Source organism: Homo sapiens, chromosome 2 (assembly GCF_000001405.40).
Source record: "Homo sapiens chromosome 2, GRCh38.p14 Primary Assembly".
Lineage (NCBI taxonomy): Eukaryota > Metazoa > Chordata > Mammalia > Primates > Hominidae > Homo > Homo sapiens.
The window spans coordinates 43,811,620-43,828,790 of NC_000002.12; the positions used below are offsets into that span (position 1 = coordinate 43,811,620).

Consider the following 17,171-nt stretch of genomic DNA (forward strand, 5'->3'; position numbering starts at 1 on the left):
GAGTCTTGCTCTGTCGCCAGGCTGGAGTGCAGTGGTGCATTCTCGGCTCACTGCAACCTCCACCTCCCAGGTTCAAGCGATTCTCCTGCCTCAGCCTCCCAAGTAGCTGGGACTACAGGCGCCTGCCACCATGCCCAGCTAATTTTTGTATTTTTTAGTAGAGACGGGGTTTCACCATGTTGGCCAGGATGGTCTCAATCTCTTGACCTCGTGATCCACCCGCCTCGGCCTCCCAAAGTGCTGGGATTACAGGCATGAGCCACCGCGCCTGGCCAGAACCCATTTTTAATAACCTATTTACATTATTTTATCCTTGAAAATATGTAATACAGGTGTCTGTATTTATACATATCAGCACCCTTTACAGTTCAAGAATGTGAATTTCTAGTATGTACCCTGTTCTTTGTAAACAATATGTCAGCACTTTTTTTCTTTCTTTTTTAGAGACAGGGTCTTGCTCTGTCTCTGTTGCCCAGGCTGGAGTGCAGTGGTTCCATCATAGCTCACTGCAGCCCCTGCCTCCTAGGTTTAAGCGATCCTTCCACATCAGCCTCCTGAGCAGCTGGGATTACAGATGTGAGACACCATGTCTAGCTATGTCAGCATTTTTTTCTATATGGACTTTAAATAACAGCTGATCTCCAGCCTTAATGGGGTTATTTCTCAGTGCATATACTTTAGTAAAGTTTACTTGTAATTCTTTTTTTTTTTTTTCGGTAGGTTTTTTTTTTTTTATACTTTAAGTTTTAGGGTACATGTGCACAATGTGCCTATAAGTAAACTCAGCTGAAAGTGAAAAATAGCAAACGAATCTTTAAAAACATAACCAGAGGTTTGTCTGGTGTGCTTTGTTCACTGTTGAGCCCATTCCTACGGTTTTTTATTTTAATCCTCAGTAAAATCACTGGGTGCTCTGTAGCAGTGGTGCTCACCATCCATCTGCCCAGCACTCTCTCGATGTGATCAGGTAACTCCGACCCCTCGTGTGGACATCTGCATTTAACTCTGGGTCTTCCAGGAACAGAAGCATTCTTACCCAATTCTGCATGATAACCTTGCTTCATCTAAACCCACAACTCTCTTTCTCTGTCACTTATGGTCAGGAATCCTTGAAACATTTTATTTTTGCCTAATCCTTTATCCAATGTAAACATATTTTTAAGCTGACCTATTTTTTTCTGTGCCTAGAACAAGGAAAAAAAATAGTCACACGAGTCTCCCATAGGTTTATGAATATTATTTACATTCTTGGGTCCGCTCAGTCACAATTTCCAAATAACCACATGTCCCTGCAAGTTGTAAGAGCAAGGGACTATAAACCACTTCCATTGCATTCAAGGCCTGCTTGGATCCAAGAGGCACAAATGGAGTCTTAATGGTTAAAAGACTTGAGATGTCCTGTCAAGAAAGAAATACATGGCACTCTCATTTCAGACGTTCAGAGCAGTCATGCACAGTCGGCAGCTTCACTTCCATTTTCCCAGCCATGGCTTTCACTACCTGCTAATGAGATGATCCCTTATTTTGAAAACAACTATTCCTAGGATGACAAGAGCTGGAATAAATGAATACAAAATCAGAAAGTTCATTGTGAATCTAGATGTTGCACCTGGGCAGGTTTTCTCAATGAATTGAATTCCTTGAGTGAAGGCACACATTGGATTAGTTGTCACAGAAACATTTGAGCTGCCTGTCAAGGAAAAGATTGACAGTGTCAGGTGTGGTTTATCTCAGGTAATTTAATCAACAAGTATTTACCAAGCGCTTGCTAAGTACCCTTAATGAAAAATACAGGACACTTTAGCAAGCCCAGAGTTTACAATTTGATGAAGCAAGAGTGAGCAGTTCTGGCCTTTGGCTTCATTTGAAGATGGACATGCTTTTGTTTCTATTTTGGGTATAGATTCATTACCATATTTGTGATAAAAATCATGATCCCTTAGCACAGACTATCCTAAAGTTACTGACATTATCACTTAAAATTATTTAAAACACTACTAAATTCAGCCATATTCTTTGGTTGTCTTTGGAGTGGCCCTGAGATTTTTTTGGTTGTTTTTTTTTTGTTTTTTTTGGGGTTTTTTTTTTCGTTTTTTTTTTTTTTTTTTTTTTTTTTGAGACACAGTTTCACTCTGCCGCCCAGGCTGGAGTGCAGTGGCTCGATCTGGGCTCACTGCAACCTCAGCCTCCCAGATTCAAGTGATTCTCATGCTTCAGCCTCCTGTGTAGCTGGGATTTACAGGCACGCACCACCACGCCTGGCTAATTTTTGTATTTTTAGTAGAGACAGGTTTTTGCCACGTCGGCCAGGCTGGTCTCGAACTCTTGACCTCAAGTGATCCAACCTCCGACTCCCAAAGTGCTGGGATTACAGGCGTGAGCCACTGTGCCCGGCCACCCTGAGATTTCTAATGGCCATGAGGTCCTTGTCTTGGTTCTACTTCCATCTGGTGGGATTGAGGAATAGACTTTTGCCAAAAGTAGCTTTATTTAGCTATGTACGATGTACATTTTGGGGAACAAGAAGCCACTTCAGCCTGCTTGAATGTGTTCAGTAGATACAGGAACTGAGTCTATCCAGAATATTCTGGAGTTTACCTCAGTGTACATAAGGTCTGTCATTTTCTAACAACATCCAAGTGTCCCTTACCTGTTGACCTTTGACAGGAGACTAACTTGACTACTGCTTATTTTCTTTCATCTTAAAAATCAGAGAAAATGTTGGACTGTATTTCAAAACAGAGTTTTAAATTGAATTATTATAAAACACAGTTTTTATTTCAAAAATACATTTCCTCCAAGAAATTGCTTCCTCAGAGTAACATGCAAAAATAATATCCCCAAATAGAATACTTACCACAAGTGAAATTCAGTCCGTAGAACTCATTGACTACAAGAATCTCACTGCAATATTTTTGGAATGTAAAATAACTGATGATTTTAAAAGGAATGGGCATTTCTTGTATGTTTCTTAAGAAAAAGAAAACAAAAATGAAATTCAGTAGGCTCTGGCAATAGTCCTACCAAATGAAAAGAAAGGCAATCCTTATATTTTCCAACAGGAATATAGTTTTCTATCTCCTTATTATAAAAATGATGCTCACTATAAAAAAACCTTCAAACAACATTGAACAATATAAAGAAATACCGTTGCCTAGAAATAACTATTGTTAACATTTTGGTAATATATATAACATGTGTGTTTAAAAGTTTTATATAAATGGAATTAAACTCTTCATGCTCTTTCCTAACTTACTCTTTTTCTGCCAAACATATGTCTCAGACATCCTTCCAAGTCAGTAAGCATAGCACTTTGTCATTTTTAGGCACAGCTTGGTGGCCTGTTATAGTGAAGACCTTAATTTAACAGTTCTCTCAAGTAGACGATTACTGTCTACTTATTTTGGTAAGCACTACTGATATAAACGTACAAGAAAATACAGACCTAACACATACCAATTGGAGGAGGAGATTTGTGATTAAACAGAAAGTTGAAGGTACCAACGTAGAAAGTTAGAACTAACCTAGAATACAAAGGAAAAAGGAAGGAGAGACCGAACCAACATTCATTGTGAAAATGAAATATGTCTCCTCTCCAATCTATTTCAGGTGAAACTGTGTGCTGACACTGTGGTCTTCTTAGTCCACTGTATATTTTCTGTCAATCAAAAGGTATAAAATTCTTTCTGTTTGCAAGGCACTAGTTCTAGGAGCTTGAGAACTTCAAAAGATGTATCCTATCCCTAAAGAACTCATAATGTAGTTGGAGATATAGAATATATCCTTAAAACTATAAAAATATACAGTAGTGAACTATTTGTGCCAAGAAAGTATAAAAAAATGTGTACCACACATCCATGATGTTCTTGTATTTAGTATTTATGGTTTCACCTATTTGCAAGGTGTCCTCAACCTTTCAGTTTCCTAAGGCACAACATTGAATTAACCACATTGAGAGGTTGCTAATTGAAAAGGATACGTGGGACTCTGGGAAGGAATTAGGGGAAGAGGATGGAAATTCTAGGAAGGCAGAAATGGTATGAGTACAGGTATGCCAAGGGCTGCATATGGGACTGACTGGACCAGAAACACTGGAAGAGAGGATGTGAAGGAACAGTGGGAGGGGAGCTCGGAACAATAGCCAGCAACAGCCATTTCAGGGCCTTGCTGTGAGTTGAGGTTGAATGACCATGAATGAGACAGGTCACGTTGAAATCAGCATTCTGAGAAAATTAACGTGACTCCAGCAAGAAGGATGGCTAGAATGAGGGCAGAGTAAGAACAGGAAAAGAAAAAAAAAAAAAAAAAGGACCAGACTACAAAAAAAGTTCAACTATGAGATGACAAAGGCCTGGAGTAGGATGATGGCCATGAGATGGTGGCTGCCTAGTGGCTAGGGTGCTATCTTTCTGAGGTAGGAACTGTGAACCTTTGTTTCTCCCTGTACCACACAGAGTCAAACACAAAATGTTCCACATGCACCTATGGTTTGATATCAGAAAAGAAAACCAACATGATTTGGTGAGTGATGCAGTGTGTATACAGTTCAAAGACAGAGTCATTTACTTATTCACTCAACAAATAATGTTTGCAGGCCTAATTGGTCCAAGGCCTAATTGGGCTGGCTGCTGAGAGGGTCTAAAATGATGAATGAGACACAGCTGCTGCCTTCAAGGGGTGGATAATCTATTACAGCAAAGGAAGACCGTGACAGGAAGTAGTGTGTGATAGGCTGAGAGAGAAAACAAAAGGGGCCTTCAAAGAGAGTGCGCCTCTAGCCTTGGGAACAACCAACAGACTTTGTGCAGGTGGCGGAGAGAGAGAAATGGATCAGTGAAAGGCACAGACAGAAGGAGAAGCAGCGGGAGGAACCATAGATCTGGATGTATTGACATGACATTGTCCACATTAGGTTGGTTTGTGCTTTGTCTTTTTTATTTTTTGAACGGAGTCTTGTTCTGTCACCTAGGCTGGAGTGCAGTGGCATGATTTTGGCTCACTGCAGCCTCCGCCTCCCAGGTTCAGGTGATTCTCCTGCCTCAGCCTCCTGAGTAGCTGAAATTACAGGCACGTGACACCACACCCACCTAATTCATATTATGTTGTTAAATGGGAAAAAAAGTATGCATATTTTATATCTTATACAACAGGATGATTTCATCTTTGTTAAAAATTATATAAAATTCTAGCAAGAACTACAACAAAATTTAACTCTAGGCTCTGATACTTCAGGTAACTTTTACTTTCTTCCACATCCACATTTATATTGTGAGCACTTCTTCCCCCAAGAACTTGCATGATTTTGTAAGCAGAAAACACAGCAAAGCTAATTTCCTTTGTGTTTAAAAGAGAAGGGAGCCAACAGCACAAATGCCTTAGGCAGTTCACCCAGAAAGATGATGACTGGGGAGAAAAATGGGTAAATGGAATGACTAGCAGGTTGATGTGGCCTTTAAGAGTGGAGTTTTAATTTTCAGCGATGGAAGTGGAATTCATATGAAGCCTTGGGTTGTTAAGATTTTGCAACTAATCTGAGAACATTTAGTATTCTTTGCAACTGCCTACCTTTTAAGAGCAATTAACCACCAGGTATAGTGGCTCACGCCTGTAATCCCAGCACCTTGGGAGGCCGAGGCAGGGAAATCACTTGAAGTCAGGAGTTTGAGACCAGCCTGACCAACTTGGTGAAACCTCATCTCTACCAAAAATACAAAAATTAGCTGGGCGTGGTGGTGCGCACCTGTAATCCCAGCTATTCAGGAGGCTAAGGCAGGAGAATTGCTTGAACCTGAGAGACGGAGGTTGCAGTGAGCCGAGATCGTGCCATTGCATTCCAGCCTGGGTGACAGAGTGAGTGAGACTCTGCGTCAAGAAACAAACAAAAATAAAAATAAAGAGCAACTAACCTCCTTTTCCTAAAACCCTAATACAAATGCTTCTTATGATGGGGTTACTTCCAGATAAACCCATCATAAGTTGAAAATATTCTAAGTTAAAAATGCATTTAAGGCCAGACGCGGTGGCTCACGTCTATAATCCCAGCACTTTGGGAGGCCAAGGCAGGCAGATCACCTGAGGTCAGGAGTTTGAGACCAACCTGGCCAAAATGGTGAAACCACGTCTCTACTAAAAATACAAAAATTAGCCAGGTGTAATGGCAGGCACCTGTAATCCCAGCTACTCGGGAGGCTGAGGCAGGAAAATCGCTTGAACATGGGAGGCGGAGGTTACAGTGAGCCGAGATCGCGCCACTGCATTCCAGCCTGGGTGACAGAGCGCGATTCCCTCTCAAAACAAACAAACAAACAAAAAAACACATGTAAGACACCTAGCCCACCAAACATTACAGCTTAGCCTGGTCTACCTTAAATGTGCTCAGAAAGCTTAACGTTAACCTACAGTTGGGAAAAATCATCTAACACAAAGCCTATTTTATAATAAATTGTTGAATATTTAATGTAATTTGTTGAATATTTAATGTAATTTATTGAATCCTGTTCTGAAAGTAAAAAACAGGATGATTGTATGGCTACTCAAAATACAGTTTCTAGGTTGGCTGCGGTGGCTCACACCTGTAATCCTAGCACTTTGGGAGGCCGAGGTGGGCGAATCACTTGAGGTCGAGACTAGCCTGGCCAACATGGCGAAACCCCATCTCTACTAAAAATACAAAAATTAGCCGAGCATGGTGGCGCACACCTGTAATCCCAGCTATTCAGGAGACTGAGGCACAAGAATCACTTGAACCCAGGAGGCAGAGGTTGCAGTGAGCTGAGATCGCGCCATTGCACTTCAGCCTGGGCGGCAGAGTGAAACTGTGTTTCAAAAAAACAAAAACAAAAACAAAATACGGTTTCTACAGAACGAGTATCACTTTCTCAAAAAATCATAAGTCGGGGATCATCTGTACATGAAATGGCACCAGATTAACTGAAACAATGATTCAAATAATATAAAAGAGGAAATGCTGCCCAAGGTTGGCTCTGTACATTGCTGGCTTGATTCTGTACTCTTGGTGTGATTTGATTTCTGCATTTTTCATAAATATTAACAATCCACTTAAGCAACACGGACAAATACAATATCATGGTCTTCGTGTGAAAAAATATCCTCCTTGATTTATCAAAGCCTAATTCACTTTGCTTTATAATATCTCACTTCGTATAACTCACTGCAATTTATAATGTGTTTTCATATTGATTATTTCCGTTCCTTCTCATGATCCCTTGAGGCAGGTGGGGCTGAAATAGTGATCTCTTTTTTATAAATGAGGAAACTAATTTAGATAGAAAAGAGACTGGCAAGTGGTAGAGGAAGTTTCTGACTCATAGGTCAGCCTCTCTCCACGAAGTCACGTGCGTCACAGCCTTCATAGTGGTGTGACTTGAGCAAAGTCAAGTCTGAGCTTCATTTTCTTATCTGAAAATGGATTGCTCTGAGAGTTAAATAATTAAACACACACATATACTTTTATATAGTAGATGCTCAGTAATGCTTTTGCTTTTTGACTTGATTTTTACATTTTTAAGTCAAAGAAACAGCCTTCATGTTTCCTTGGGGACCCAGAGATTACTTACTAGATCCCACTCACACCACCTGCCTGGGATCATTTTTAGCCTTTTAAAATTTTCTGCCCTTTTTGCTGCTGCTTTTTAAAAATGTGTGTGGATACATTTTTTCCTGGTTATAAAATGATACTTGTCCATTACAGAACATTGATAAAATACAGAAATATGAAGAAAAAAATTAAAATCAATATCACTATTGATATTGATTTTAGAGATAGAGATAATTACTGCTATCATTTGGTGCATATCCTTTAAGCCTTGATACTCTTTGGAGCAGTCTTTTATCCTGCAGGCTTTTTTTTTTTTGTCTGACTAGTCTTAATTCCTAAGAATAACTGGGAATTGAGAACTGCAGTTCACACTCAACAGTACCAGGTCAGAAATGAACTAATGCATGCAATTTATTTAGCCTATCATGTGGGCTGTGAGTTTTTCCTGGAACATCCGGGCTGGTTTTCTTCTCTTGGTATAATGGTTTATTACATGTGAATCATATCATAACATAAACTTGTTAGTTCCTGATTCCCGATAAAAAAGACATTTTATTGAACAAATGAACAGTTCAAGGTCTAAGGCAATGATTAACGAGCAGTATAAATGCTCTAGACTATAAGGTAATATCCATAACCACTATCAGTTCTCTGGTATTCCTTTACTTCAGTCATTATTAGGTGATCATTAATAACAGATTATCCCAATCTAAATTTTTTGAATTATGATATCTTACCTGAGGAATCCAGATCCAACAAGCACCCCCGCAATGGACAGCAGAGCCACTACACTGTTGACTATATTTGGATTTTGGACGATACCAAGTAGCACAAGAGTTAGAAATTCACCAATTAAGTGGGGGGCCAAGAGAGCAGCAGAAAAATATCCAAATCGGGCAACCTCAGGATGTAAGCCCAGCGTCCTAGAAAAGCATAAGCTCTTTAGTTTCCTCTCCAAGGGCTATCATTTAAGAAAAATACTGCACTTGCCTCTGTGAATAAATCCTTTGTGGTGAGTGGGTGGGAGAAGTTTGCAGGGCAAGCCACACTCCCCTTTGAAAGGCCGTTTTGGAAAGGAGTCAACATGAGACTATTTATTATATCAAATTGTTCCCATTGGCTGCAACTCATTGGGAGCCACCTTTTCCCTTTCACGGCTCCTTCAGCTCTCATAGGAAAACATTAAATTACTTAGACAATGGTCACAACTAACCGCAGTAAGCAGGCTTGTTGAACTCTACAGGCATCTTCATAAATAACCATGTTCTGCCTAGCCAACACCACACCTACCTAATGTTAAAGGGCTCACCCAACCCGCTTCCCAGCACCCCCTTCCCTGAACCTCATCTCTGTTATATGGGATTATTGCCTACGTGAAAATCCCTCACTTCTTTTGTCCTCGATCAGGTTAGCCCTCCCCAGCCCTACTCCATTCCATTCTTGTCTTTTATTCTACCAACCCCTTCCACTGATTTGACCTTCGTTTTCTTTTTTGAGACGGAGTTGCACTCTGTTGATCAGACTGGAGTGCAGTGGCGTGATCTTGGCTCATTGCAACCTCTGCTTCCCAGGTTCCAGTGATTCTCCTGCCTCAGCCTCCCAAGTAGCTGGGATTACAGGTGCGCACCACCACACCCAGCTAATTTTTTTGTATTTAGTAGAGATGGGGTTTTGCCATATTGGCCAGGCTGGTCTTGAACTCCTGGCCTCAAGTGATCTGCCCATCTCAGCCTCCCAAAGTGCTAGGATTACAGGCATGAGCTACCATGCCTGGCCTGACCTTCATTTTCTTGTAAACAAACCACCCTATATCCATGCACCTTTCCTCTTATATTCCTTTCTCCAAATTACATTTCCCTGGTGATAGCGTATCTTCAATGACCATTAGGCATGGCTGCTCTTTATCCCATTTGTAGAGTAAGCAAAAAATGTTGGCATGTCTTATACTCGCCCCTCCTTACCACTTACTCTTCAAGGCCATCTACTTTTCCTCTGTACAAATCATGAAGTTTGCTTATGCTATCAATGCCGTTCCTCATTGTTGTCTTCTGTGATGTTTAAAACATCCTCTTGCCTTTGATGATTTTATAGCATCTGGACCAGAGTCATTCTTTTTGCTCCTCTCCCCTATCATTTTCCTCAAGCTCTTTAACCTTCTTGATGAGCCATCCACATCAGTGGTTCCTAATTAGCGAATCTCAATTCCAATGGCTCCAGCTACCTAATCTGCATCACTCACCATGTCTTGGACTTAAATATTACTCAAAATGGTTTCGCTCCCAGGATTTCAGAGTCTGAGGACACCCTCTCTGAGCACAGCCTCCTGCCTCTCACTTCCCCAGTGCCCTCACTGCCGCAGATGCTGGACCCCTTCTGCCATTCTTTGCCTTATCAGTTCCCACATCTGGGGACCCTATTCTCCCTTAAGCAATGGAAGGTGTGCTGGACAATGCCTATTGCCGCACTAACTGGATCCCCTCTGCCACTTTGCCTCAGCTGGCCCCTGGACCCCTAAGATTTCCTTGTTGTGTCTTGAATTCTAATAGCATGTCCCATGATGACTGATATAAACCTCTACTTTAAAATTTCCCCCTTCCCAATTTCAATCTCTCTCCCCAGTGCTCAGCAGCTGAATTCACCTCCCATTTTATGAATTTCTTGATATCTTCATCATCTCTATTTTTCATTCTCTCTCTCTCCCCCTCTCTTCCCGCACCCCATCTTTGAAAGTGTGACCCTAGCTGCTTGCATCCTTGATCCCATGTTATTCTGATTCCCCTATCCCTACCTTGGTCTACTCTGGGAACTTCCTCTTTGACTTATCCAAATTTTGGCTGCATTTTCATCTACTCTCAATCTGATGTTTTTTGATGGTCTTATTTACCACATCCTAAAATAACCATTTTTTGAACTTGATCATCATTTAAGTAACTGCCCCTCTTCATCCTACCCTGTAACACCAAGTTTCTCAAAACAGAATCTGCTTCCTCCATCTTACACCTTCCCTTCTTGTAAACCTGACTTGCACCCCCATGACTCTACCGAAGCTCTTTTTTGGGAAATTGCAATGGCCTTCTCCCTTTATGCTTCACCTCCTTTAACCCCTGCAATATTGAAGTGTTTATGACACTTCCTTGAAACTCTCTCCTTCCTCATCCTCTCTGATGCTGCCCAATCCTGCTTCTCTTTCTACCTCCCTGATCACCCTCTGCCTCCTCTGTTGGTTGCTGTCCTCTTCCCACCCTCTGAATGTGTCTGTTTTAAGGTTTTACATTCAGGCTGCTTTCTCCCCTCCCCCAGGCCCCCCCCCATGCACCTGGGTCCTAGCTACTTCAGAGTCCTCTCTTCTCTGGCCCAGGCCCTGCCGTGAATGTGGGACAGGTCATTCCCAGGCACATGTCATCTTGTTGGTTTGTTCTCAGGTCTCCTGCAACCCACAGTTGGGCTATTTACAATAAAATTAATGTCCTGGAAGATACGACATTGCACTAGACACTGATGGGCAAAGTGTAGATCCTCCAGAGCAGAGAACTTCACCCTGGAGCTCTCCCTGCACGAGTCCCACTAGCTCCATGACTCCATGGGAGCCCGGCCCTGGGTGAACTGAACAACCCCTCACCAGTAGCACACACTGCTGAAAATCATGGTGGCAACAACGCTGAAGGGGAGGACGTGCAGTGCATAGGCCAGCATCATCTGCCACTTCTGGTAGAGGCCGTCCTGACTCTCCTGGTCGCTGACAGCTCGCAGCACGGGAACTGGGGATGGAAGGCAGGTTTCAGAACAGTCAGTCACCACCCAGCTGAAAAAGGGAGGGCTAGCCCAAGCTGAATGTGAGGTCTGTCAGGGCTGGATGGTGAGGACCAGCTAGGGGGGTTCCCTAGTCATAGAAGGAGGGGACCTGCCATCCACAGGACAATAAATCCCCACCCCGGAAATCTACACTCTACCAGAATTGCAATACAATTGCAAAAGATGTCATTTATTTCCTTCTCTCTAAAGTGGGGAGTTGTCACCAATTCACGAAAAGTACATGCAAAAGGGGCATGAATAAGTGATTTGAAGCACTTTGTCTTCTTTCTGTGCAGGATTCCCCCCACCCCACCCCGCCCCCACCACCAGCAGCCTGCATTTTAGACTTGCTCTCGGAAGGCCAGGCAAACCCCACAGATGCAGACACTTAGCATTGCCCCTCATGTCAAGCTCTAGAGCAACTTCACAATAGCGAAGTCCTTCCCTCTTATTCCCTAACAGTGTTGCCTTTGGGGAATCCCTCTAACACCTGCTTCCTGCAACGTTAGGCAACCAGGTTTTGTCTCTGGAATTCCACTGAATTTGAAAATTAGGTGCTGGCTGTCCTAAAATCAGCTCCAAAGAGAAGCTAACGGTACAAAGTTGGCCTGGTCGCTGAGCACCCCATGGGCTGTGCATCTGAGATGGCCAAGATGAGATAGGAGGAATGATCTTTTGAAAAACTCCTCAAACTCTCCCCACCAGTACATTGTCACTTCATGTTTCCCTGGATCCTTAGCCCTCAGAGAGATCCACCTGGTGAGCTCATTCATATTAACGTGTTGGTAACTCAATAGTTGCCTTTCCCCAGAGAGGGAACCTGGAGAGGGCTGGGTTTAGCTCAGAGAAAAACCCTTATAATGGTAGACTTTTGTAAGGTTACAGCTGGAGAAGGGAGGTATTTAGGGAGAAAGAGGTGCACCTCCAGCACGTGGGCACTTACACAGATTCACAGCGTTCAGCATGCCTGTGTACGGGGTGGCGCCCACAAACTGGTAAAGGAGACCTACGCGGTCCTGGATAGCACCCTTTAGCACATTGCTTCGGACCCGCAGAACGAAGAAAAGGAGGAACAAACCCATGATCAGATTCTGAAGGAGACGCGTAATCACTGCCAGCTTATTTCTCACCAAGTTTCTTGTCACTCTCCTGAAAACAAACAACCCTGTTTTAATTCCTTTTCAGAATTGTTATTGGGGGATGGCTAAAGACCTCTAACAGGCATTTCTCACATTTGTGAGCCTCTTACCTCAGGAGAACACCCAGTTTAGAGAAAACTCCAGGAGAATCTTTGGTTTTGAAAGGAACCATTGGTAACGTTTTCAGGTGTTTCATTCTTTCAATATTCTTCAAAGTTTTATGACAAATTGCTGATTTCTTGTAGGCAGATTCTATCATCTGGACTCTCTTGGAGGTTTCTATTTCCCGTTCCTTGCTTTGGGTATCCACTGACGTCAGGTCCACTAAAAGTTTTTCCCAAAAGATGTCACCCATGTGTTTTTAAATGCATGTATGTACATGGATATACAATTGGTACAGGAGTACTGGCCATAATACCTCATCCCATCAAGATAAAATTTGTGGTTAATGCCCACCTATAAAATCAGAATACTTTAAAGCATCCCAGCAGGGCCTTGAGGATCCCATTGGGATTGTCTGGGAGAATTCAGAAGCTCAGCTAATTATGCTCTGATAAAGTAGTAGCAGTGCGCCAGTTTGTTTGAGAGAGATCCCTGACCTCATTCTGATAGTCATCTCTGGCAAGTTCATTGACCCGGCCAAATTGATTCCTTGAAGAGTATAAAACACAAAAACAAAAGCAAAAATCAAATCCACTAGACTGGTGTCATCCAGGCAGAAGTCTGAGATGAGAAAGTTTAAAAAACATTCATGATGGGGAATGTGAAAGAAAAACTTACTATAGAAGTCAAAAGGGTTTGAATGTTCAGGACAAGGGTAACCGCAGTCATTGAAGAAATCAAGCATTTCCGCTGGCGTGCCACAGAAAATCAGCTCTCCGAAGCTCAGGATGGCAATTTTGTCAAAGAGCTGACCAGACAACAGACGTAGTTAGTGTGTGATCACAAGGGTAGCGATGCACTTTGAATGTCTCTGGGAACACTGATGCAGGGCCAAGGTCAGGTATTCCTTATGGTCACCAAGTCCTTATGGGAAATGCATTTCCCATAAGCAGTCAGTCCTTCGATGACCTTGGCCCTGCATCAGTATTCTTGGAGACATTCGAAATGCATCCCTACCCTTGTGAGCCTAGGCTACCACTGTGGGTCATGCTGCCTCCCATCCTGACGCCCAGCTTCATATCTGGGATAGACAAGCATGACTGGACCTGGGCGTAAGTCCCAGCCAAGCCAAGTGAGTGACCTCGGGCGAGCAGGGGTGGGTCTTAGTTTGTTTTTTTGTTTTCATTTTAAATCTCAGCTCCTCCTCTGTAAAAAGCAAATAATAGCTAACTAAAGGGATACTGGGCGGAGAAAGTGAGTTTTTTTGGAAGGAAATCAGTATGATTTCGTGGAAAAACACAGCCTTTGAAGCCAACTTGGCTGTGAAAGGCTAATGCTAGCTTTTTACTATTAACAACTGTGTGATCTTGGCTTAATTTGTTGTTGTTTTGTTGTTATTGTTGTTGTTGTTGTTGTTTCTGAGACCGAATCTCACTCTGTCACCCAGGCTGGAGTGCAGTGGCACAATCCCAGCTCTCTGCAACCTCCTGGGTTCAAGCGATTCTCCTGCCTCAGCTTCCCGAATAGCTGGGATTACAGGCGCACACCACCACGCCCAACTATCAATTTTGAATCATTGCTAAGTTTCACTCTTTTCCTCTGTAAGGTGAATACACTGAAACACACCTCATAGGAGTGTTGTGCAGATGAAATGAGCTATGTACAGAAAGTATTTGGAACATGGTAGGTGCTGAAAGAAGTGAGTTTTCATCCTTTGCTCTTCCCCTCTCAGGAGCTGTTGGCTCCAATTCTCTAGCACTAACGGTTTTTTGTTTGTTTGTTTGAGATGAGGTCTTCCTCTGTCACCCAGGCTAGAGTGCAATGGCATGATCACGACTCCCTGCAGCCTTGACCTACTGGGCTCAAGCGATCCTCTCACCTCAGCCTTCCAAGTAGCTGGGACCACAGATATGCACCACCATGCCTGGCTAATTTTTCTTTTTCTTTCTTTCTTTCTTTTTTTTTTTTTTAGAGATGGGGAGTCTCACTTTATTGCTCAGGATGGACTCAAACTCCTGGCCTCAAGTGCTCCTCCTGCCTCAGCCTCCCAAAGTGCTGGAATTACAAGTGTGAGCCACTGTGCCTGGCCACTGGTACAAATCTTGCCCCTGCCCCTGTGATTCCCAGCTCAACACACCATAGACCCGGCCTTTACGAGTTGAACCTCTTACCTGAAAAAGCTCAGAACGGGGCTGGTGAATGGTGAGAACCACAATTCGGTTCCTGCGAGCCAGTTCCACCAGGAGGACGACAATCTGATTAGCAGTCATGCAGTCCAGGCCTGTGGTTGGCTCATCAAACAGCATGACCTCTGCCAGCAAAGAAGGGCCAGACTTCTAAGGTAGTGCAGAGCCCAGGCTCTGTGCTTAAAACTCAGAGTTCTGAACTGTTCCTTATTGAGTTTGTACCCCATTCAAACAGTGTGCGGTGGGAAGTAAACATGTAAACTGGCTTTCAGCCTGAGCTCAGGAGAAAGGACCTGATGTGGAAGGGCCTAGTTCCCAGCTCTGGAGCACATGTGGGCTCAAATCCTCCAGGGCACAGGGAGTAAGGAGATCAGGCCTCTTACGGGCCATCTGGGCTCTGCTCAGGGCACCCTGTCAGGGAACAAGGGCTGGCAGGCTGGCATCAAGTTGTTTTAAAACAAGACTGAGAGAAGGCTGGTCAAAAAGACAACCCCATTTCATGTCTGTAACACTTTCCAACACCAGCAGGGTCTTTGCACAGAAAAGAAAAAAATCTGACGAATAAAACAAGGCCTGAAGTGTGGCAGGCATTTGGGTTCTTTAGAGGGTTTAAAGTAACTTATTTCTTCCTAAAAAGTGACAAGGGGGCCGGGCGCGGTGGCTCACGCCTGTAATGCCAACACTTTGGGAGGTCAAGGCAGGCAGATCACCTGAGGTCAGGAGTTCGAGACCACCCTGGCCAACATGGTGAAACCCTGTCTCTACTAAAAGAACAAAAATTAGCCGGGTGTGGTGGCAGGCGCCTGTAATCCCAGCTACTCAGGAGGCTGAGGCAGGAGAATCGCTTCAACCTGGGAGGTGGAGGTTGCAGTGAGCCAAGATCGCACCACTGCACTCCAGCCTGGGCAACAAGAGCGAAACTCTGTCTCAAAAAAAAAAAAAAAAAGTGACAAGAGCTGTTAAAAACATCTCTCTTATTTGCCTTCTAGTGACCAAGCACCATTTGAAGAACAGGCCGTCCTGGTCTACCACAGTGCAAAGAAAGGATCCAGATGCAGTTTGTCCTCTCCAGCTGCATGAGTGGCGAGGTTTCCCCAGGTGATGGGGAAAATGACCAAACCTGGCAGAGGACTGACTACTCTGTTTTGATACTCCCTTCCCCACAACATATACACTTTTGAGTTTATCATTCAAATTCCTATTTTAATTCCTGCCATTTCATGAACACCTGTGGTCATATCAAAACTCATTGGCTTTCCCCAGCCCACACAGTGGTATTGCCCTGGTGAGAAGAAATGATTGGCAGGGCAAGGCTCCATATTCAAGGAAAACCCCAATGGAACACTTCAACACCAATGCAACGCTTCCGGGTCCAGGAGCTGTTTTGTTTGGATGATGGAATCGCATCAGGAAATGAACTGTACAGCATTTCCAAAAAAACTGGGTCCTCAGTTTGAAAAACCTGTGATTTCAGTTGTACACAAACCCCTTTCCAAATGAGGACCGTGAAGAAAGGGCCCAAAGTATCTGCACACACACAGAAGATGCCCAGACAGCAGCTAGTAACAGTTCTGGGTGCCACTTACTAGGATCCTGGAGCAGCTGGGCTGCGATGGAGACCCGGCGCCGCTCACCCGTGGAAATGCCCCCCAAGCTGTAGTTGCCAATCAGTCGGTCTGCCACATGGCTCAGACTCAGCTCTGCCATGACGGCCTCCACCTGCAGGAGACACAAATTACAGGAAGGCTGGGAGTCTCTGTGGCTGCTATTTCAATTCATGGGCTGGGGAGGACATGAAAGAGGCAGCACACCGCCCAAGAATCCAAGGGCCACTTCCAGACTCACCACACCCTGGGGAAAGCATGTCTTTGATAATAATATGATCCAATTCGGCTTAAATCGTAATACATGTGTCAGATTTAAATAAATAATATGAATTTTTTAAAACGTCCCCAGAGGCTGGGTGCAGTGGCTCATGCCTGTAATCCCAATACTTTGGAAGGCTGAGGAGGGAGAATTGCTTGAGGCCAGGAGTTTGAGACCAGCTTGGGCAACAAAGAGAGACCCTGTCTCTACAAAAAAAAAAAAAAAAAAAAAGAAAGAAAAAAACAATAAATTAGCCGGGTATGCTGGCACGTGCCTGTAGTCCCAGCTACTCAGGATGCTTAGGCAGGAGGATCGCTTGATCCCAGGACGTTGAGACCACAGTTAGCCATGATGGCACCACTGCACTCCAGCCTAGGTGACAGAGCAAGACCCTGTCTCTAAAATAAAATAAAATAAAATGGGCCTGGCATGGCGGCTTATGCCTGTAATCCCAGCACTTTGGGAGGTCGAGGTGGGTGGATCACTTGAGGTCAGGAGTTCGAGACTAGCCTAGCCAACACGGTGAAA

At 43.6% G+C, this 17,171-nt stretch overlaps 2 protein-coding genes across 14 annotated transcripts in view; one reads left to right on the top strand and one right to left on the bottom strand.

The window, feature by feature from the left end:
- The window catches only part of DYNC2LI1 (dynein cytoplasmic 2 light intermediate chain 1), a 54,309-nt gene extending 37,581 nt beyond the window's left edge, over positions 1–16,728 (top strand). For both annotated transcript variants that reach the window (NM_001348913.2, NM_001348912.2), the window contains exon 14: positions 15,767–16,728. The gene's annotated coding sequence lies outside the window, so the exon portion shown is untranslated. The remainder of the gene's footprint in view (positions 1–15,766) is intronic.
- The window catches only part of ABCG5 (ATP binding cassette subfamily G member 5), a 33,021-nt gene that overhangs the window by 5,409 nt on the left and 10,441 nt on the right, over positions 1–17,171 (bottom strand). For 4 of the 12 annotated variants that reach the window (XM_047445409.1, NM_022436.3, XM_011533025.4 and 1 more), the window contains 9 exons: positions 16,364–16,496; positions 14,763–14,902; positions 13,270–13,399; positions 12,600–12,813; positions 12,294–12,499; positions 11,178–11,316; positions 8,296–8,481; positions 2,858–2,970; positions 853–1,690 (listed from right to left, as the gene is read on the bottom strand). In XM_047445409.1, coding sequence (XP_047301365.1) covers positions 1,497–1,690; positions 2,858–2,970; positions 8,296–8,481; positions 11,178–11,316; positions 12,294–12,499; positions 12,600–12,813; positions 13,270–13,399; positions 14,763–14,902; positions 16,364–16,496 — 1,455 coding nt within the window. In that variant the 3' untranslated portion in view covers positions 853–1,496. Of the gene's footprint in view, positions 1–852; positions 1,691–2,857; positions 2,971–8,295; positions 8,482–11,177; positions 11,317–12,293; positions 12,500–12,599; positions 12,814–12,846; positions 13,141–13,269; positions 13,400–14,762; positions 14,903–16,363; positions 16,497–17,171 lie in introns of those variants that run through there. The other 8 variants (XM_011533024.3, XM_006712073.4, XM_005264480.5 and 5 more) reach the window with 8 other exon arrangements.